The sequence below is a fragment of the Homo sapiens genome, chromosome 19 (genome assembly GCF_000001405.40).
Source record: "Homo sapiens chromosome 19, GRCh38.p14 Primary Assembly".
NCBI classification, from domain to species: Eukaryota; Metazoa; Chordata; class Mammalia; order Primates; family Hominidae; genus Homo; species Homo sapiens.
In genome coordinates, this window is record NC_000019.10 from 23,647,976 (window position 1) to 23,669,777 (window position 21,802).

Below are 21,802 nucleotides of genomic sequence, written 5' to 3' on the forward strand. Positions count from 1 at the left end.
TAAATCTGTCAAACAATACATAATTATAGTTGGGCAGGAGAAATAAGTTCAAACAATATGTTCTACAGCATAGTGACTATAGTTCATAATAATGTATTTGCATTTTTTTAAAAAATTAAGACAATATCATGTGCTCTCACCACAAAGAGTTAACTATGTGAAGCATTACCTAAAATTGAGCATTTGACAATGTACATAGACTTCAAAATGTAATGTTTTACAAAATAAATACACATTTATTTATTACAGATGATAATGGTATGAAAGACACTAAAAGGGCAGGTGTTCGGGCTGGGCACAGTGGCTCACGCCTGTAATCCCAGCACTTTGGGAGGCTGACGTGGGCAAATCATGAGGTCAAGAGATTGAGACCATCCTGGCCAACATGGTGAAATCCCGCCTCTACTAAAAAGACAAAAAACTTAGCTGGGTGTGGTGGTACATGCCTATAGTCCCAGCCACTTGGGAGGCTGAGGCAGGAGAATTACTTGAACTAGGGAGGTGGAGGTTGCAGCGAGCCGAGATCGTGCCACTGCACTCCAGCCTGGTGATAGAGCAAGACTCCGTCTCAAAAAAAAACAAAACAAAAAAACTTACATTGATAAGCAAACTCTCCAGTTAAAATCAATTTTTCTTTCTTTTTTTGAGACAGTCTCGCCTTGTCACCTAGGCTGGAGTGCAATGGTGCAATCTCGGCTCACTGCTACCTCTGCCTCCTGGGTTCAAGCAATTCTTCTGCCTCAGCCTCCGGAGTAGCTGGGATTACAGGTGCATGCCACCCCACCTGGCTATTTTGTATCTTTAGTAGAGACAGGGTTTCACCATATTGGCTAGGCTGGTCTCAAACTCCTGACCTCATGATCTGCCCGCCTCGGCCTCCCAACGTGCTGGGATTACAGGTGTGAGCCATCGCACTTGACCAAAAAACAATTTTTCAAGTGCATTAAAAATACCAACTTTCTCATCAAAACCTACAAAGTAGCATGTGAAATGACATGGCATTACAAAAGTGAGAAAATTGTAGCTATAAAACAGAAAAAAAGAAGTGCTGTGATGTCATGCAAAGTTGGAAAACACGTAAGACAAACCTGAAGATAAATGGAAAATAAAACAAGCAGAATTTTGCTTTATATTCAGCAAGATTCAGGTTTGCTGCCTAAAAAAAGATCCTATCCACATAAAGAATCAATGTTTTTTCTTTGTCATTTATATTTTACATCTCTGACTTAAAGTTACAAAATAACTCTAGCAGGAATATTTACAGATTATAAAACATCTGTTACTCGGCAAGCACTGTCACGTTTTTTTGCTACATTTATATATTAAAACATCCTCATGACTTATGAAGCCTCCTTAGTACTTACCTGAATGTTATGGGAAGTCAGGGACCCTGAACAGAGGGACCGGCTGGAGCCGTGGGAGAGGAACATAAATTGTTAAGATTTCATCTTAATATGGACATTTATCAGTTCTCAAATAATACTTTTGTAATTTCTTATGCCGGTCTTTAATCTCTTAATCCTGTTATCTTCATAAACTGAGGATGTACATCACCTCAGGACCACTGTGATAATTAACTGTACAGATTGATTGTAAAACGTGTGCTTGAAAAATATGAAATCAGTGCACCTTGAAAAAGAACAGAATAGCGACTTTTATGGAACAAGGGAAGACAACCATAAGGTCTGACTGCCTGCGGGGTCGGGCAAAGAGCCATATTTTTCTTTTTGCAGAGGGCCTATAAATGGACGTGCAAGTAGGAAATATATCACCAAATTCTTTTCCTAGCAAGTAATATTAATACTCTGGGAAAAGAATGCATTCCTGGGGGAGGTCTATAAATGGCTGCTCTGGGAATGTCTGTCTTGTACAGTTCAGATAAGGACTGAGATAAGCCATGGTCTCCTGCAGAACCCTCAGGCTTACTAGGGTTGGGAAAACTCAACCCTGGTAAATTTGTGGTCAGACTGGTTCTCTGCTCTCCAACCGTTTTCAGTTGTTTATCAAGACAATACATGTACTACTGAACATACACCCTTATCAGTGGTTCTGCTTTTGCCCTTTGCCCTGTGATCTTTGTTGGACCCTTATCAGAGGTTCTGCTTTTGCCCTTTGATCTTTGTTGGAGCCTTATTAGTGGTTCTGCGTTTGCCCTTTGCCCTGTTCCCTCAGAAACGTGATCTTTGTTAGACCCTTATCAGTGGTTCTGCTTTTTGCTCTTTGAAGCATGTGATCTTTGTACCTACTCTCTGTTCTTACACCCCCTCCCCTTTTGAAACCCTTAATAAAAACTTGCTGGTCTGAGACTCAGGCGGGCATCATGGTCCTACTGATAGGTGATGTCACCCCTGGCAGCCCAGCTGTAAAATTCCTTTCTCTGTGTTATCTCTATTTCTCAGCCGGCTGACACTTATGGAAAATAGAAAGAACCTACATTGAAATATTGGGGGCGGGTTCCCCCAATACCTGAACTGGCTCAATCAACAAATAAATTTACTTCTGTCAATTATAAAAAGTGAAAGGAATAATAACTTAAATAGGCTTATATAAGGTTCTTCAATTAGAAGAACAAAATAGAATGTTTTAATTCAATAAAACAATACACTAATTGTGGAACTACATCTAAAAATTATTTTGTGTGCCCTACTAAATTTTATAAAAATAGTTTATATCTTTGACCACTTCACATAATGAAAACCTCATAAACTATAAAAGAAAAAAAATTGTAAGAAACAACAAAAAAATGTGGGCTAGGCATGAGTACCAATCAAGTAAAAACAAAATTTGCATAAGATTTTGAACCCATAAGCCATACTATTTTACAGTAATTCAGTAGAAAGAGTATAGATTTGCTTTCCGCATTTTTGAGGTTTATAGTTTTCTAGTAAATTAGTTACCTTACTAAAATGTTTTGTTCCAATATTGCTCTTTTCTTCTGAAAATAGGAACAAATTTATACTCACACAAACATGCTTACTTACTCCATAATTTTCTTACACCTAGGGTTTAACTTAAGAGTAATGTATGTATATATTTAACTTTACTAAGTCAAAACTAACAAGTCTGTATGTGTTTGCAGGCAGAGAAACAACATGTTCAAAAATACATATAACAATTTTTTTAATGCTTATTTAGGACTCAGAATGTGTGGACTTTATTTATACTTCTATATAATTTTTAGCATAACCATAAAAATAGCCCTGTAGTCAATAACAATTGTACATTAAAAAAAACTAAAACTGTAGAATTGGTTTATAATACAAAGGATAAATGCTGGAGATGATGGATACTTAATTTTTCCTGATGTAATTATTACATATTATATGTCTGTATCAAAATGTGCTATATATGGCATAAATATACACATACAATGTATCCACAAAAATTAAAAAGTATAAACTTAGATGAGAAATAAATATTTAACCTATGAGAACATTCTTTAACCTCCTTGCAGTTTAAAGTCACTGGCAAAAGGGATTACTAGAAATGTTTGTCCATTATGTTACCAAATAGTATGTTACCATCTTTTGCCTACACCAGTGAGTAAAGTGAAATAGGTTAAAGTTAATGGCATACTAACTTTATTAAATGTTTTATAAATGTTAAATAAAATTTTAATAAAATATTAAGTTCACACATAACTTAAAATTTTAAGAACGTACATTTTATTACATAAAAGTACAATTAGTAAAATAATTTACTAATTTTAACTAAAATTTAAAATGCTTTTTTCTCACTATAATGCAGAATATTACCCTGAACACCCACCTCATGTGTCACTTATATTAACAAAAAGAGCCTCTCCACTTAGATTTTTATGTGTCTTACATTTTAATGTCCTTACCCTTCCATAAAAAAGATCATAATGCCCAACTAATAAAAAAAAATTCTCCTATCTCTGATGCAACAATTAGTCACAAGTTGAATACAATAGAAATGAAGAAAACAAGAAGAGTTTTGAATTTTGAGAGTTGAATTACATTATTCATGTTGCAAATAATCTGTATTTTTTAAGGAAAAAAGTATACTTTCAATGTAATTATAACTTTTCAAAAAATTTTCTACACCTTTTAAAGTTATACACAATTTATCTAACAACTTTAGTTCTGGATTATTTTTTATACTCAGCATTCTGATTTACTGTAATGTCTGAAGTGTCAGTGCCTTAGATATTTCTGAGCTATCTGATATTTACATAGACTTAATTTTAGAATAAATATTGTTTTATATTTACTGCATCTACAAAAAAAAAAAAAAAAATATATATATATATATATATATATATATATATATAGAGAGAGAGAGAGAGAGAGAGAGAGAGAGAGAGAGAGAGAGAGAGAGAGAGAGAGAGATGGAGTTTCACACTTGTTGCCCAGGCTAGAGTGCAATGGCACGATCTTGACTCACTGCAACCTCTGCCCCTCCAGTTCAAGCGATTCTCCTGCCTCAGCCTCCTGAGTAGCTGGAATTAAAGGCACTCACCACCATGCCTTGCTAATTTTTGTATTTTTAGTAGAGACAGGGTTTCGCTATGTTGACCAGGCTGGTCTCGAACACCTGACCTCAGGTGATCCATCCACCTCGGCCTCCCAATATGCTGGGATTACAGGTGTGAGCCACTGCGCCCAGCCTGCAGAAATATATTTTAGTACTAACTCTCTGGTGTTTTCTAAAGCTATAGATTTTGAAAAAATGTGTTTTTCTAAATGTATTACATTTGCAGAGTTTTTCTCCCATACAGATTCACTGATGTTGAAAAAACTTTGAGCAACTGCTTCAGGGTTTTTCTCTAGTACAAAATGTACATGATAAGCTTTATGATACCAGTAAATGTACTACAACCCTCTTTATGTTTGTAATCTTTGTCTTCAAAACGAATACTCTTCTTCACTTTAAAGGCTTATATTTTCTTAAAGTCTTTAGACAGTAATTGCATTTATAATGCTTTTATTAAGTACCAACATTCTGATATTAAGATGTCAACAGATATTAATGGCTATTTTACACTCTTTATATTTGTACAATTTTTCTTAAGTATAAACGCTTTCCTGTGCAATAAGGTTTGAGCCTTAATTAACAGTATTGCCAAATTCTTCACACTTGTAGTTTTCTCCAGTATGAATTATCTTACATACAATGAAGTGTGAAAACCATTTAAAGTCTTTGACACATTCTTTACATTTCTAGAATTTTTCACCAGTATGATTTCCTTTATATTTAGAAAAATTTGAGGTGTTGTCAAAATCATTATCACACATTCCAGTTCTGTAGTTTCTCTCCAGTATGTATTTTTTTATGTTTAGTAAGGTTTGCAGATTGGTTAAAAGCTTTGTCACATCTCTCACATTTATAGGGTTTCTCTCCAGTATGAATTATCTTATGTTCAGTAAGTTTTGAGGATCGGCTAAAAGCTTTGCCACATTCTTCACATTTGTAGGGTTTCTCCCCAGTATGAATTCTTTTATGTGTAGTAAGGGATGAGGAGTGTTTAAAAGCTTTGCCACATTCTTCACACTTGTAGGGTATCTCTCCAGAATGAATTTTCTTATGTTCAGTAAGTTTTGAGGATTGGATAAAAGCTTTGCCACATTCTTCACATTTGTAGGGTTTCTTTCCAGTATGAAGTTTCTTATGTTCAGTAAGTTTTGAGGATCGGTTAAAAGCTTTGCCACATTCTTCACATTTGTAGGGTTTCTCTCCAGTGTGAATTCTCTTATGTGTAGTAAGGGCTGAGGAGTGTTTAAAAGCTTTGCCACATTCTTTACATTTGTAGGGTTTCTCTTCGGTATGAATTTTCCTATGTTCCGTAAGATTTGAGGATCGGTTAAAAGCTTTGCCGCATTCCTCACATTTGTAGGGTTGCTCTCCAGTATGAATGTTTTTATGTTCAGTAAGTTTTGAGGATCGGTTAAAAGCTTTTCCACATTCTTCACATTTGTAGGGTTTTTCTCCAGTATGAATTCTCTTATGTGTAGTAAGGGTTGAGGATTGGGTAAAAGCCTTGCCACATTCTTCACATATGTAGGGTTGCTCTCCAGTATGAATTTTTTTATGTGTAGTAAGATTTGAGAACTGGTTAAAGGCTTTGCCACATTCTTCACATTTGTAGGGTTTCTCTCCTGTATGAATTATCTTATGTGTAGTAAGGTGTGAGGACTGGTTAAAGGCTTTGCCACATTCTTCACATTTGTATGGTTTCTCTCGAGCATAATCTTTTTTATATTCAGTAAGGTTTGAGAATTGGTTAAAAGTTCTGTCACATTCTTGACATTTGTAGAGTTTCTCACAAGTATAAATTCTTTTATGTTTAGTAAGCTTTGAAGATTGGTTAACAGCTTTTTCACATTCTTCACATTTGCAGAAATTCACCTTGGTATAATTTCTTTCATGTCGAGTTAGGTGTGAAAGCATGCAAAATGATCTGCCACATTCTTTACATTTGAAAGGTTTATTTTCCATATGTTTTATCTTATGTCTATCTGAATGTGAAAATTTATTAAAGACTTTCACATATTTATCACATTGAAACATTTTGCTCTGCATAGTTGGTAAACATTGGTTAAGTCCATTATAACCTCCCTTGTGCAACTTACATTCATCCACACTTTTACAGCCTTTTAACTGAAAATTATCATTTCCACATTTTTCATATCTTCTCAGTGTCACTTTTTCAAAAGAATCTTTTATGTTCTGCTCTGGCCAAAACTCTTGGGCAAAATGAGAACACATTACTGAAAGAAATAAAAATAACACATTACTTTACAGACTCAGATAAATATACTTTCCAAACCTAACTTATAAAATTACACAAACTACATAAGCAAGATGGCACCACAGGCCATAATTAAGTGTATGTGTTGCCCCAGGTGAGCACAATGCAAAGAGCCACATAGAAAAAAAAAAAAAATTCTGTCACATTTACCCAACACAGCTTTTTCTACTCCCCAATATAACATAATGTTTTCAGAAGTAAATTACAGCCAGGTGCAGTGACTCACACCTGTACTCCCAGCACTTTAGGAGGCTGAAGCGGGCGGATCACGAGGTCAGGAGTTCAAGACCAGCCTGGCCAACATAGTGAACCCGCATCTCTAATAAAAATAGAAAAAAAATTAGCCAGGCATGGTGGCGGGAGCCTGTAGTCCCAGCTAATTGGGAGACTAAGGCAGGAGAACTGCTTGAACCTGGGAGGATAAGGTTGCAGTGGGCCAAGATCGCACCATTACACTCCAGCCTGGGTGACAAAGCAAGACTCTGTCTCAAAAAAAAAAAAAAAGTAAATTGCAAACTTCAATTATTTACATATAGAGGAATACCTGAGAGTAGATAATTTATAAAGAAAAAAGGTTTATTTGGCTCACAGTTCGGCAGACTGTACAAAAAGCATGTGCCAGCATCTGCTTCTGGTGAGGGTCTCAGGAAGCTTACAATCACAGTGCAATGCACAGATTAACTGGACACATCACATGGTAAGATACAAAGCAAGTGTCAGGTAAAGAAGCCAGGTTTTCTTTTTTTTTAAATGAACTAGCTCTTACTTGAATTAACAGAGTGTAAACTTACTGATTAACAAGAAGATAGTGCCAAGCCATTCATGAGGAACTTTCCCTCATGACCTAAGCACCTCCCACTAGGTCCCATATTCACCTTCTATCAGGACCCAAATCAACAATGATGATTACATTGCAATATGAGGTTTGGAGAACATAGACATCCAAGCCATATCACAGACCAAATAGGCTTAACAGACCTGTACAAACCTTTTCAATCAAAAGCAAGAGAATACACAATATTTTTCTTTGCACCTGGTGTATTCTGTTAGGACACAAATCAAGTCTTATTAAATTTAAGAATGCTGGCTGGGTGCATGCCTATAATCTCAACACTTTGGAAGACCCAGCTGGGCCAGAAATTTGACACCAGCCTGGGCAACATAGCGAGACCCTGTTCCTACAAATAATCAAAAAAATAGCCAGGCATGGTAGCAGCCATGGCACGTCTGTAGTGCCAGCTACTTGGGAGACTGAGGTAAAAGGATCACTTGAGCCTGGGAGGTTATGGCTGCAGTGGAGCCACTGCACTCCAGCCTGAGTGACACAGTAAAATCTTCTAACAGCAACAACAAATAAATTTAGGAAAACCAAAATTATAAACATTTTCTGACCAAAAGTGAATAAAACAAAAAATTAAAAGGAAAAGTAAAATTGGCAAATTGAAAAATATATGAAAATAAAACAGTGTTCAACATATTCTTGGCTCAAGGGCCAAAACACTTAATTTTTCAAAAATGTCAATGCAACCAAAAGTGGTGAACAAATTCAACATAATCTCTATAAAAAATGCATTAGCAGTGGCTCATGCCTATAATCCTAGCACTTTGGGAGGCTGAGGTGGGCAGATTACCTGAGGTCAGGAGTTTGGGACCAGCCTGGCCAACATGGTGAAACCCCTTCTCTACTAAAAACACAAAAATTAGCTGGGTGTGGTGGCATGTGCCTGTAGTCCCAGCTACACAGGAGGCTGAGGCAGGAGAATAACTTGAACCCAGGATGCAGAGGTTGCAGTGAGCTGAGATAGTGCCACTGCACTCCAGCCTGGGTGACAAAATGGGACTCCATCTCAAAAAAACAAAAAAGGTATACACACACACACACACACACACACACACACACACACACAATGGATTATTCAGCCTTAAATAAATCTAGTCAACATTTTAAGATAAACTTTGAGAATATTATATCACCTGAAGTAAGCCAGTAACAAAATGGATACTATATGATTCCACTTATGTGAGATATCTTAATTAGTCACACTCATAGAAAGTGCAAGGGTGTTTGTCAACGGCTGGAGAGAGGATAAAATGGGCAGTTGTTAATGGGTATTGAGTTTTAGTTTCACAAGATGAAAAATTTATAGAAGTCTTTTGCATAACAATACAAATATACTAAACATGGCTGAAATGTACAGTTTTTTTGAGACAGGTTCTCACTCTGTCATTCAAGTTTGAGTAAAGTGGCACAATTATGGCTCACTGTAGCCTCAAACTGCCAGGCTAAAGTAATCCTGCACCATCAATCTCCCAAAAAGCTGGGACCACAGGTGCACACCACCATGCCTGGCTATTTTTAAAAATTTTTTGTAGACAGAGAATCTCCATACGTTTCCCAGGCTAGTCTCATACTTTTGGGCTCAAGCAATTCTCCTGCCTTGGCCTCCCAAAATCCTGGGATCAAAGATGTGAGCCACTACCATGCCTGGCCCTGAAATACACACTTCAATAGATTTTAGATGGTAAAATTTATGTGGTTTTACAATTAAATTTTTTAAAAGAAAAAATGGAAAAAATACAGAATTATAAATCTTTACATGAATTACCTTCAAATCACAAAAGTGTTTCTCTCACACAAAAGAAATATATATTTATTATTAAACACATGGTGAAAATAAGACTATCTCACCGGGTGTGGTGGCTCACCCCTTGTAATCCCAGTACTTTGGGAGGCCAAGGCAGGTGGATCACCTGAGGTCGGGAGTTGGAGACCAGCCTGACCACATGGAGAAACCTCGTCTCTACTAAAAATACAAAAAATTAGCTGGGCGTGGTGGCGCATGCCTGTAATCCCAGCTGCTTGGGAGGCTGAAGCAGGAGAATCACTTCAACCTGGGAGGCAGAGGTTGCAGTGGGCGGAGATCACACCACTGCACTCCAGCCTGGGCAACAAGAGTAAAACTCCATCTCAAAAGAACAAAAAAGACTATCTCCATGACTAATCACTTAGACAAGATAAAACAATCATTGAAAATCAGCTAAGAAAGAATACATACAAGATAAGCCATAACCAAAATTGGGGTCATATTCATAGATAAACACACATATGTAATCTGATTGGGATAGATATGTGGCTGATTTATTTCTTAATTAAATCCCACAAAGTGTACAAACAATTGCAAATTGTCTAAAATGGTAAAACAAAAAAACAATAAACAGATGTCAAACTGAAAAAACACATTAATATGGAATGGCAAAACCATAGTAAGAGAAACGTTTACTCATAAAATCTTGCAGGCAACACTGATGTACCATTAAAAATGATGTGTCTAGGCCAGATGCAGTGGCTCACGTCTGTAATCCCAGCACATTAGGAGGTGAGGCTGGCAGATCACAAGTTCAGGGGTTTGAGACCAGACTCGGCAACACGGTGAAACCCTGTCTCTACTAAAAATGCAAAAAAATTAGCCAGGTGTGGTGGCGCACACCTGTAATCCTAGATACTCAGGAGGTGGAGACAGGAGAATTGCTTTAACCCAGTAGGCAGAGGTTGGAGTGAGTCAAGATTGCACCATTGCACTCCAGCCTGGGAAACAGGAGCAAAACTCCATCTCAAAATTAAAAAAAAAAAAAACAAAAAACAAAGACAATTTTGGGCCAGGCTCTGTGGCTCACACCTGTACCAGAACTTTGGGAGGCCAAGGAAGATGGATCACGAGGTCAGGAGTTCAAGACCAGCTTGGCCAACATGGTGAAACCCCATCTCTACTAAAAGTACAAAAATTAGTCAGGCATGGTGGCATGTGCCTATAGTCCCAGCTACTCAGGAGGCTGAGACAGGAGAATCACTTGAACCTGGGAGGTGGAGGTTGCAGTAAGCAGAGATTGTACCACTGAACTTCAGGCTGGACGACAGGGCGAGACTCTGTCTCAAAAAAAAGACAGAAATTTTACGTCTTAAATATATGCTATTGTTACACAAAACAAAACTGCTGTAATCCAACTTTAGAAGCAAAAAAATAGCCTTACATTGCTATATATATATCTATAGATATCTATAGAGATATAGATCTATATCTCTATAGATATATAGATATATCTATATAGATATAGAAATAGATCTATAGATATCTATAGATATAGATCTATAGATATCTATAGATAGATATAGATCTATAGATACCGATCTATAGATATAGATCTCTAGAGATCTATAGATAGATATAGATCTAGAGATAGAGATCGAGATCTATATATATAAAATGTTAAATATATAAAAATATATATATTGCAGAATATGGTTAGAGCGCCTGATATATAAAACAAATATCTGCGAATAAATTATATTATTTAGATACAGGCTGGACAAAATGGGTGCAAATCATAGAATTATTTTTTCCTACATCAAGCCTAAATTTATAAGTAACAGTTTTAGTAAATATGGAGTGCCTACAAATTATCTAATTTACTTTAGACATTACATGTAAATTCTAGCATATTGTTCTAAATTTCTAAATCTAAAATTACAGACAAAATTGAAACAGAAAATGGAGAATAAAAATGTATAGCAGGAGTGAAATTGGTAAGATGGGAGAATAAAAGGTGCCCTATTTTGTTATCTCCTGCACAGCAAGACAATTTGTCAGCCATCCCTGACAAAAATGCCTTTATGAGATTGCCAGGCATCATGGCTCACACCTGTAATGAAAGATACATGATATATTAAGTTTAGAGAATTGCTTCAGGTTAGGATTTCAAAATCAGCCTGAATTATGTATGTAGCAAGACTCCATCTCAAAATAAGTGCCTTTGAGAGCTTTGAGATCCAGAGAGAGAGGGAGTTGTGGAACTCTGATAAAGCCCAAGATTTAAAAGTCTTCTTTTCAGAAGGCAGGCCCTCATTCAGGTGCAAACTACAGGATCCCTGTTCTTAACTACAGACTAGGAAATGGCCCACCCAACTTGGTCCCACTAAGAATTCTGAACTTACTATGTAACCATCCCAAACTCCTCACAGCCAAAGTCTGGGAGAGATTCTGCTTTTCCAGAGGCCCAGAGGAAGGTACCCATTTACAGCCATGTGGACTGGCCTAAGGTAAAGGACCTTAGTCTTTACTGTGGTCCTTGAAGCAGTTCAATGACTCAGTTCCAGCTCGCTGAGCCACAGTTTATGGTCAGTTCTGCCTATACAGAAACCCACACAGTGACCTGGAAAGATCCTTTCTGGTACTCGCTGAAAGCCATAGTCATTCATATTTTGATATAAGGCCCACCATATGCAGACCCTACTGCAAAAACCTGCCCTAGTGTCTGCCCTACAGAGCAAAATCCTCTGCCAAAATTCAGTCTGTCCAAAATGGGAATTTAAACTACCCAAGTTTTTTAGGACAAGCCAACTAAAGGCAGACCCTAGTGCAGACCCAGCAGCCTTGTGACAAAGCTACAACCCCCTCTCCACTACAAACCCAGAGGGCATCCCATCACCCTGAGCGTCCAACAAAAGATCTTTACCTTCTGAAACCAGTTTATAAAAACTTGAGGTGTTTTCTCCTTCTGTACACAGATGCCAATGCAAAACTATATTGTGCCCATTGTCAATGCTGCTAGTTTAACATAACACTGAAAGTATTGGCAGAAGAATTAGTCGAAAAATGAAAAAGAGCAATTGAAATTGAAGACACATAAGTAAAAAGTTGCTGGCTGTAGCTCATATGATCATATATATAAACATAAACAGTACATTAAAACTTGTAAATACACTCAGTAAATCAGAAAAATATAAAACTAACATACAAGTTAGGGTTCCATAAACTTAAACTCTCTGATAAAATAGAGAAAAAAACTTATTTACAATAGCATTAAAATAATAAATTTCTGAGAACAAATTTAACCAAGGAGGTACAAAATCTTTACAGTGAGAGATATCAGTGAAAGATATTAGAAAAGACATAAATAAACTTGAAAATATTTTATGTCTATGAACTGAAAGAATAAATACTGTGCCATGTTATCCAAAATGATCTATAGATTCAAGACTCCCTATCAAAATTCCAGTGGCATTTGTTTTTCACAGTAATAAAAAATATAATTCTAAAATTTAAATGAAACTATGATACACTTTAAATAGCCGAAGCAAGCTTGAGAAAAAAGAACAAAGTAGAAGAATATCATACTTTGTAATTTTCTTTTTTTTTTTTTTTTGAGACGGAGTCCCACTCTATAGCCAGGCTGGAGTGCAGTGGCACAAACTTGGCTCACTGTAACCTCCACCTCCCGGGTTCAAGCGATTCTCCTGCCTCAGCCTCCTGAGTAGCTGGGATTACAGATGTGTGCCACCACACCTGGCTAATTTTTTGTATTTTTAGTAGACACCGGGTTTCACCATGTTAGCCAGGTTTCCAAACTGCTGAATCAAAAGAAAGATTTATCTCTGTGAGATGAATGCACACATCACAAAGCAGTTTCTCAGAAAGCTTCTTTCTAGTTTTTATCTGACCTCCTGATCCGCCCACCTCAGCCTCCCAAAGTGCTGGGATTACAGGCGTGAGCCACCGTGCCTGGCCCTTGAGCCGATGCCCAGCCCTTTATAATTTCAAGACTACATTAGAAGACTATAGAAATACAAACAAGTAAAATGTGTAGAAAAATGAAAAAAAAAAAGGGCGGGGAATAGTGGCTCACACCTGTAATCCCAGCACTTTGAGAAGCCAAGGTAAGCAAATGACCTGAGGGCAGGAGTTTGAGACCAGCCTGGCCAACATGGTGAAACCCCATCTCTACTAAAAACACAAAATTAGCCGGGTGTGGTGGCACGTGCTTGTAATCCCAGCTATTTGGGAGGCTGAGACAGGAGAACTACTTAAACCCAAGAGGCAAAAGTTACAGTGAGTCCAGACTGTAGCACTGCACCCCAGCCTGGGCTACAGAGCAAGACTCTGTCTCAAAAAAAAAGAAGGAAAGAAAACAATAGAAAAGAAACCACTTCTCATACGTTTCAGACAAGATGGAAAAAAAGAACTTAAAAAATCATTTAACAGTTTCTCAAAATTATGTAGGTATTTCTGTGCCTCCAAAAAAAATGAGTAAGGATTCAGATTGCACAGTCTCTTGTATGCCATGAAGCGGACACTGGTTCTCACCGAAAACTTAAAGGAAAATTACCAAAAATGTAAACAGAAACCTTAGAGAATTTAAAAGCATAAGACAGAAAATGCTCAAATGTGAGAGCATAAAATACTCAGGCTTTCCAGAAATTATTTCCTTTAAAACACGGCTTCCCAAATCACATTTTAAGGACTGGCTTTCTCTTTGACCTTTGGACCTCTCATCAGTGTCACCTGTTGTATTCACTTTCATTCTCACTTACCTGGGGGTTCATTCACCATCTCATGTCTCTTCACAGTCAAAGGCTCTTTTTCTTGCTCCAGACAGGTGATCAGGTCTTGCTTAGAGACAGCAATACCTGTTTTATTAAAAAATAAATAACATTAATTTTGCTCATATTCTCCAATTACCAACCTAGTAATGTGCTCAGTAAAGAGAATGTAATGGAATAGTCTAGTAAATTAATCCCAAAATACTGACTTATAACAGAAATTTTTAAATACTTAGAAAATATTCTAAATTTGTAGGTTCTTAATTTCACTACCCAGTACTACTGAATCAAAACTTGGTGTTGGCAATTAGATTTTAAGGTGTGGGCAACAATATTTTATGCCACTAAACTTCTGAAATTACCACTAGAGTGAAGGACACAGATCAGCTCAGGAATGTGTTAAGTTCAGATCAAGATGAAACATACTAAAGAAATTCTTCTCTATACAGACAAATCCTTAAGATTTTCTCAAAAACAGGGATCTGAAACTCATTTATGCAAAGCATACATTACCAAAATATATTCTACAAAGAAGAGAAATGAAACCTTTACGGTATATTAGAAACTGTCTGTTGGGACAGGCATGGTGGCTCACACCAGTAATCCCAGCACTTTGGGAGGCCGAGGCGAATGGCTCATCTGAGGTCACGAGTTCGAGACCAGCCTGGACAACATGGTGAAACCCTGTCTCTACCAAAAATACAAAAAAAAATTAGCTAGGCATGGTGGCTCACGCCTGTAGTCCCAGCTACTTGGAAGGCTGAGGCACGAGAATTGCTTGAACCCAGGAGGCGGAGGTTGCAGTGAGCCAAGATCGCACCACTGCACTCTAGCCTGGTGACAGAGCCAGACTCCGTCTCAAAAGAAAAACAAAAAAAAAAAGAAACTGTGTGTTTAAGTTATCCTTACCCAGGAAGACCAGGTTTCTGTAGTTCTCTAAAATCACATTTTTATATAAATTCCGCTGTGCAGTGTCCAGGCATTGCCATTCTTCCAGAGAGAATTCTATGGCCACATCCCTAAATGTCAACAGTCCCTGAAAAACACATACACACAAACATATTCACCAGGTAGCCAACAGAGATTATAATTTGACTCAAGGTAAAATGAGAGACTAAAGAGAACAGGTTCTGATTTATAGGAGTGACTGAAATTATCCAATAAAATCATATTTTTTACACAGAAATATTTCCTAATGTGTTCTCTAACCCTGAGAAAACAGAGTGGCACAAGAGCCACAACACCAGTGTATATATAATAATTTTCTAAATAATAACATATATAATAGGTCAGGCACAGTGGCTCATGCCTTTAATCCCAGCACTTTGGGAGGCCGAGGCGGGCAGATTACCTGAGGTCGGGAGTTCCAAGACCCACCTGACCAACATGGAGAAACCCAATCTCTACTAAAAATACAAAATTAGCCAGGCGTGGTGGCGCATGCATGTAATCCCAGCTACTCAGGAGGCTGAGGCAGGAGAATCACGAGAATGGCTTGAACCTGGGAGGTGGAGGCTGTGGTGAGTGGAGATTGCAGTGAGCTGAGATCGTACCATTGCACTCCAGCGTGGGCAACAAGAGTGAGACTCCATCTCAAAAAAATACATAATTAAGGGCATAAACACAAACACGTAGCTTTTTGAGTGCTTCACAAGCTTCTGTGTAATAAATGCTATCTTGTTTAAATAATAGCTAATTGAGAACACAGATGGAGCCTCAACATTAGATGTTCTCCATTTTTACTAAGGACCGCAGGTTTTCCCAATAGAAATGTTGAGTTATCTACACCTTTGCATGTTCAATAGCCACAGGTAACATTTTTAATATTGCAGATTATAAAATAATCGTGAGAATTCTGCATGGCATATAAGAAGTCATGATGTAGAGAAGCCTCTGGTATATGGAAAAGAAGTATTTTTCAGAGACTCTTGACTATCATAAGAGTTTTTATAAGTAGTTAAAACAAATTCATTAGGGAGAAAAAACCCAAGTAGAGAAGTCAAAGTTTGCAAGTACTAAACGCATGGCATTCCAGGAGGCAGAGCGGACACAGCTCTTGATCTGAGACATGTTTAACTGAAAAAAAGCCATTTTTTCCTTTCTCTGAAAATTCTTTTCACATGCGATTCTCTGGACAAATTACACCTGCATCTGGAGAATATGCCTTTAAAGGTATCAGCACCACATGTTTACCTGGTACCACCACACTCACAGGCAGAAGGACCAAGACTCACAGAAAAAGTCCACCCATTTCTGTCCTTCATACCAGAAGCGATTCAGGAACCATGAGCTGCTCCACGGAGATAAAAGTAAAAGTTCCTTTTCTTCTGTCCTCAGGTGTCCTCCCCTGCCATGGACATCAGCAATTTCTGCTACAGCAATGAAAATACGGACCACACTTTCCTGTCACTACCAAACCAAACAGAACCAGCCCTTTGACCATTCTTTAGAGCAAAGGTAGAACTCTCATGAATATATCTTGAACCCCTCATACTTGATTTTGGCCTCATGTTAGAGTCACAAGAGGCACTTAATTAAAACAACATGGGCGGGAACAGTGGCTCACACCTGTAATCGCAGCACTTTGGGAGGCCAAAGTGGGCAGATCACTCGAGGCCAGGAATTTGAGAACAACCTGGCCAACATGGCAAAACCCCATCTCTACTAAAAATACACAAATTAGCCAGGCATAATGGTACGTGCCTGTAATCTCAGCTACTTGGAAGGCAGAGGCAGGAGAATCGTTTAAACCTGGCAGGCGAATGTTGCAGTAACCTCAGGTCGCACCACTGTACTCCAGCCTGAGCAACGGAGTGAGACTCCGTCTCAAAAACAAAAAACAAAACATGATACCTCCGCCCAGAAGAATAAACAGACCTGTGGATAGGGCACAAGTAGATATTTCTGCAAACTGGCCATGTAATCTTAATTAGAAACCTGGGCTGGGCATGGTGGCTCACACCTGTTATCTCAGCACTTTGGGAGGCCAAGACGGGGGGATCACTTGAGGTCAGGAGTTCCTGACCAGCCTGGCCAACATGGTGAAACCCCATCTCTACTAAAAATACAAAAATTAGCCAGCCGAGGTGGCACTTGCTTATAATCCCAGCTACTCAGGAGGCTGAGGCAGGAGAATCGCTTAAACCCAGGAGGTGGAGGTTGCAGTGAGCTGAAATCGCACCACTGCACTCCAGCCTGGGCACAGAGCAAGACCCCACCTCAAAAAAAAAAATCAAACCTGGGCTGAAAACCACTTAGCTGGGCATTGCCTTTAAAGCTTTAATGGGCTTAAAAAATACTTGGAAACTGTGGCTCCACTCTCTGTGATGTAATTCTGCAGACTTAGGGTTCATGAGTGGTTTTTTTGTTCTTTGGGTTTTTGTGTGTGTGTGTGATGGAGTGTCGCTCTGTAGCGCAGGCTGGAGTGCAGTGGCGTGATCTCGACTCACTGCAACCTCCGCCCCCTGGGTTCAAGCGATTCTCCTGCCTCAGCCTTGAGTAGCTGGGATAACACAGGCGCCTGCCACCACAAGCAGCTAATTTTTTGTGTATTTTAAGTAGAGGCAGGGTTTCACCATGTCGGTCAGGCTGGTCTCAAACTCCAGACCTCTAGTGATTCGCCCAACTTGGCCTCCCAAAGTGCTGGGATTAAAGGCATGAGCCATGGCAGCCAGCCATTAATGGGTATTTTAAACCCATTAATGTTCCCTATCAATTGCTTTTCTGGGGCTCATGATTAGCATTAGAGAAAGCAGGCACAGCATGGAGTCCCTTACACTCAGCACTCTTGTTACAACACAAATACTTCTCAAATGAAGACTACCAATTTTCATATTCTTTGCTGGCTCTTTAAAGTTTACAGAATAAACAGAAGGCAGCAACATCTAAATAAGTCTGCATGTGGAAACCATGAGGTACACATGTACTAATGAGGCAAGAGAATAGGGTCTGGAGGCAGGGAACCTAAGACCATTTCACACCGAATTCCTAGACCTAAATGGAAAGGAAAACTAACTTTCCATGCCTAAGTAACAAAAAGACCAGAGGCTACTGCCTTTGCAAATCCCCACCTTTTCTGTGAGGCAGATAGGAAATTGGCTGTCCACAACCATTCAGACTGATTGTGGGCTGAGTCTCTATTTGAATAAAAGTGACACTTTGTAACTTCACCTTAGCCTCTAATTGGTTGCTTTTGCAATCAATTGGATATTTGCAGAGGATTGTGACCTTTTTAACTTTGCTTCAGCATCTGATTGGTTTCTTCCTGCAACTAATCAGAGCAATTGTGGGCCACCACTTCATTTACATGAGGTGAGCACCAAGTGGCCAATGGGAAACCTCTAGGGGATATCTGAACCCAAGAAAATTCTGTTGTCTGGGACCTTAAGCCATTGTTCGGGCCCACTTTCACACTGCAGAGTGTAATTTCATTTTCAATAAACCCGTTTTGTTCCTTTGTTGCTTCATTCTTTTCTTGCTTTGCTGTTTCATCCAATTCTTTGTTCAAAAGGCCAAGAATCTGGACAACTTGCAGTCAAGACCCTCTACTGGTAACTTATTTTGGTGAGCCAGGCAGGAGAGGAGGTAGGCCCAAAGTATTGGATTTAATTTTTTCCTTTCTCCTTTTACATACAGGGAAGTCTTTCTCTCTTTTTCTCTTTCTCTCTCTTTCTCTCTCTCTCCTCCCCTCCCCCCAACCCAGGGCCACTTTTTGATGAAACTGAAAGGTTTCCACGTGCAAGTGCCTGACTACCACCTCACAGTTTGGGTGAGGGACCTGAGACCTTTCGTCTGTTTGTTTTTCTGAGTCCTATTGTTTTTGTCCTTTTTCTGAGACTGTGTCCGGAATTGGTGGGTTCTTGGTCTCACTGACTTCAACAATGAAGCCGCGGACCCTCGTGGTGAGTGTTACAGCTCTTAAGGTGGCGCGTCTGGAGTTTGTTCCTTCTGATGTTCAGATGTGTTCGGAGTTTCTTCCTTCTGGTGGGTTCGTGGTCTCGCTGGCTCAGGAGTGAAGCTGCAGACCTTCGCGGTGAGTGTTACAGCTCTTAAGGCAGTGCATCTGGAGTTGTTTGTTCCTCCCGGTGGGCTCGTGGTGTCACTGGCTTCAGGAGTGAAGCTGCAGATCTTCATGGTGAGTGTTACAGCTCATAAAAGCAGTGTGGACCCAAAGAGTGAGCAGTAGCAAGATTTATTGCAAAGAGCTAAAGAACAAAGCTTCCACACTGTGGAAGGGGACCCCAGCGGGTTGCCACTGCTGGCTCCGGCAGCCTGCTTTTATTGTCTTACCTGGCCCCACCCACATCCTGCTGATTGGTAGAGCCGAGTGGTCTGCTTTGACAGGGCGCTGATTGGTGCCTTTACAATCCCTGAGCTAGACACAAAGGTTCTCCACGTCCCCAGCAGATTAGTTACATACAGAGTATCGACACAAAGGTTCTCCAAGGCCCCACCAGAGTAGCTAGATAGAGTGTCGATTGGTGCACTCACAAACCCTGAGCTAGACATAAATGTTCTCCAAGGCCCCACCAGAGCAGCTAGATACAGAGTGTCAATTGGTGCACTCACAAACCTTGAGCTAAACACACGGTGCTGATTGGAGTGTTTACAAACCTTGAGCTAGATACAGAGTGCCGACTGGTGTGTTTACAATCCCTGAGCTAGACATAAAGGTTCTCCAAGGCCCCACCAGAGCAGCTAGATACAGTGTCAACTGGTGCACTCACAAACCCTGAGCTAGACACAGGGTGCTGATTGGTGTGTTTACAAACCTTGAGCTAGATACAGAGTGCCGACTGGTGTATTTACAATCCCTGAGCTAGACATAAAGGTTCTCCAAGGCCCCACCAGAGCAGCTAGACACAGAGTGTCGACTGGTGCACTCATAAACCCTGAGCTAGACACAGGGTGCTGATTGGTGTGTTTACAATCCCTGAGCTAGACATAAAGGTTCTCCAAGGCCCCACCAGAGCAGCTAGATACAGTGTCAACTGGTGCACTCACAAACCCTGAGGAGCTAGACACAGGGTGCTGATTGGTGTTTACAAACCTTGAGCTAGATACAGAGTGCCGATTGGTGTATTTACAATCCCTGAGATAGACACAGGGTGCTCCAAGGCCCCACCAAAGCAGCTAGATACAGAGTGTCGATTGGTGCACTCACAAACCCTGAGCTAGACACAGGGTGCTCCAAGGCCCCACCAAAGCAGCTAGATACAGAGTGTCGATTGGTGCACTCACAAACCCTGAGCTAGACACAGGGTGCTGATTGGTGTGTTTACAATCCCTGAGCTAGACATACTCTCCACGTACCCACCAGACTCAGGAGCCCAGCTGGCTTCACCCAGTGGATCCCGCACCGGGGCTGCAGGTGGAGCTGCCTGCCAGTCCTGCGCCATGCGCTCACACTCCTCAGCCCTTGGGCGGTCGATGGGACTGGGCGCCGTGGAGCAGGGAGCGGCATCCGTCAGGGAGGATAGGGCTGCACAGGAACCCACGGAGGCGAGGGAAGACTCAGGCATGGCAGACTGCAGTCCCGAGGCCTGCCCCGCGGGAAGGCAGCTAAGGCCCGGCGAGAAATCGAGCGCAGCGCCAGTGGGCTGGCACTGCTGGGGGACCCAGTACACCCTCCGCAGCCGCTGGCCCGGGTGCTAAGTCCCTCATTGCCCGGGGCGGGCAGGGCCGGCCGGGGGCTCCGAGTGCGAGGCCCGCCAAGCCCACGCCCACCCGGAACTCCAGCTGGCCCGCAAGCACCGCACGCAGCCCCGGTTCCCGCTCGCGCCTCTCCCTCCACAACTCCCTACAAGCTGAGGGAGTCGGCTCCGGCCTTGGCCAGCCCAGAAAGGGGCTCCCACAGTGCAGCGGTGGGCTGAAGGGCTCCTCAAGTGCCGCCAAAGTAGGAGCCCAGGCAGAGGAGGCGCCGAGAGCAAGCGAGAGCTGTGAGGACTGCCAGCACGCTGTCACCTCTCAAGACCTTTTCCTTTTCTCCTTTTTCAGTCTTTCAGCAGCCATTTTCTAGTAGATGTTGGTAATTGAGTGGAACTAGCCAGAGCCACTCTGATGTTCTCTGAAGGCCAATGAGCAAACAGGGCTGCCTGTCCTGCCCAGAAGGGGGAAAGATTTTCTATCCTTTCTGGTTATAGTCCCTTATCCCTACATATGACACCGTTGGCAGCGGGCAGTTCGCCCAGGGTGAATCACATGTTTCAGGTGACTTAAACCTTCTTTTCTTTTCTTATGCTAAATTCTTCCCTTCCCCCACTCAACTAGCTATGAACAGAAAACCCACCTAGCTATGCAAAAAGGTTATATAAGTCAGAGGGTCCAAGCATGTTGCAGGTGGTCTCTGAGGTGCACGGTGGTGGGGGGGTGGGGGGAGCTTATGAAAGGAAATGTATTATTGCTGAAGTTGAGAGAGTTAAAGGGTTGCTTTAAATGGGATAGATAAACCTTTAAAAAAGCTCATAGTAGTCCGGGCGTGGTGGCTCATGCCTGTAATCCCAGCACTTTGAGATGCTGAGGCGGACAGATCATAAGGTCAGGAGTTCGAGACCTGCCTGACCAACTAAAACTACAGAAAAATTAGTCTTGCATTGTGGCACGCACCTGTAATGCCAGCTACTCAGGAGGCTGAGGCAGGAGAATCGCTTGAATCC

General features: G+C 40.5%; 1 protein-coding gene across 2 annotated transcripts in view, besides 1 other annotated feature; it reads right to left on the reverse strand.

Annotated features, from left to right (window-relative positions):
• Positions 1 to 4,825: 4,825 nt before the first annotated feature.
• The window catches only part of ZNF675 (zinc finger protein 675), a 34,412-nt gene continuing 17,435 nt past the window's right edge, over positions 4,826 to 21,802 (reverse strand). The window contains exons 2-4 of one of the 2 annotated variants that reach the window (NM_138330.3): positions 15,057 to 15,183; positions 14,139 to 14,234; positions 4,826 to 6,731 (exon numbers count right to left, since the gene is read on the reverse strand). In NM_138330.3, the coding sequence (NP_612203.2) occupies positions 5,251 to 6,731; positions 14,139 to 14,234; positions 15,057 to 15,183 (1,704 nt within the window). In that variant the 3' untranslated portion in view covers positions 4,826 to 5,250. Of the gene's footprint in view, positions 6,732 to 8,746; positions 9,155 to 14,138; positions 14,235 to 15,056; positions 15,184 to 21,802 lie in introns of those variants that run through there. The other variant, XM_047438379.1, reaches the window with a different exon arrangement.
• Positions 17,890 to 18,630: an enhancer, noted in NCBI's record as "OCT4-NANOG-H3K4me1 hESC enhancer chr19:23848667-23849407 (GRCh37/hg19 assembly coordinates)". NCBI's record gives its function as "activates a minimal SCP1, AML or CMV promoter by ChIP-STARR-seq in naive H9 embryonic stem cells {active_cell/tissue: H9 hESC(naive)}" and the evidence as "EXISTENCE:reporter gene assay evidence [ECO:0000049][PMID:30033119]".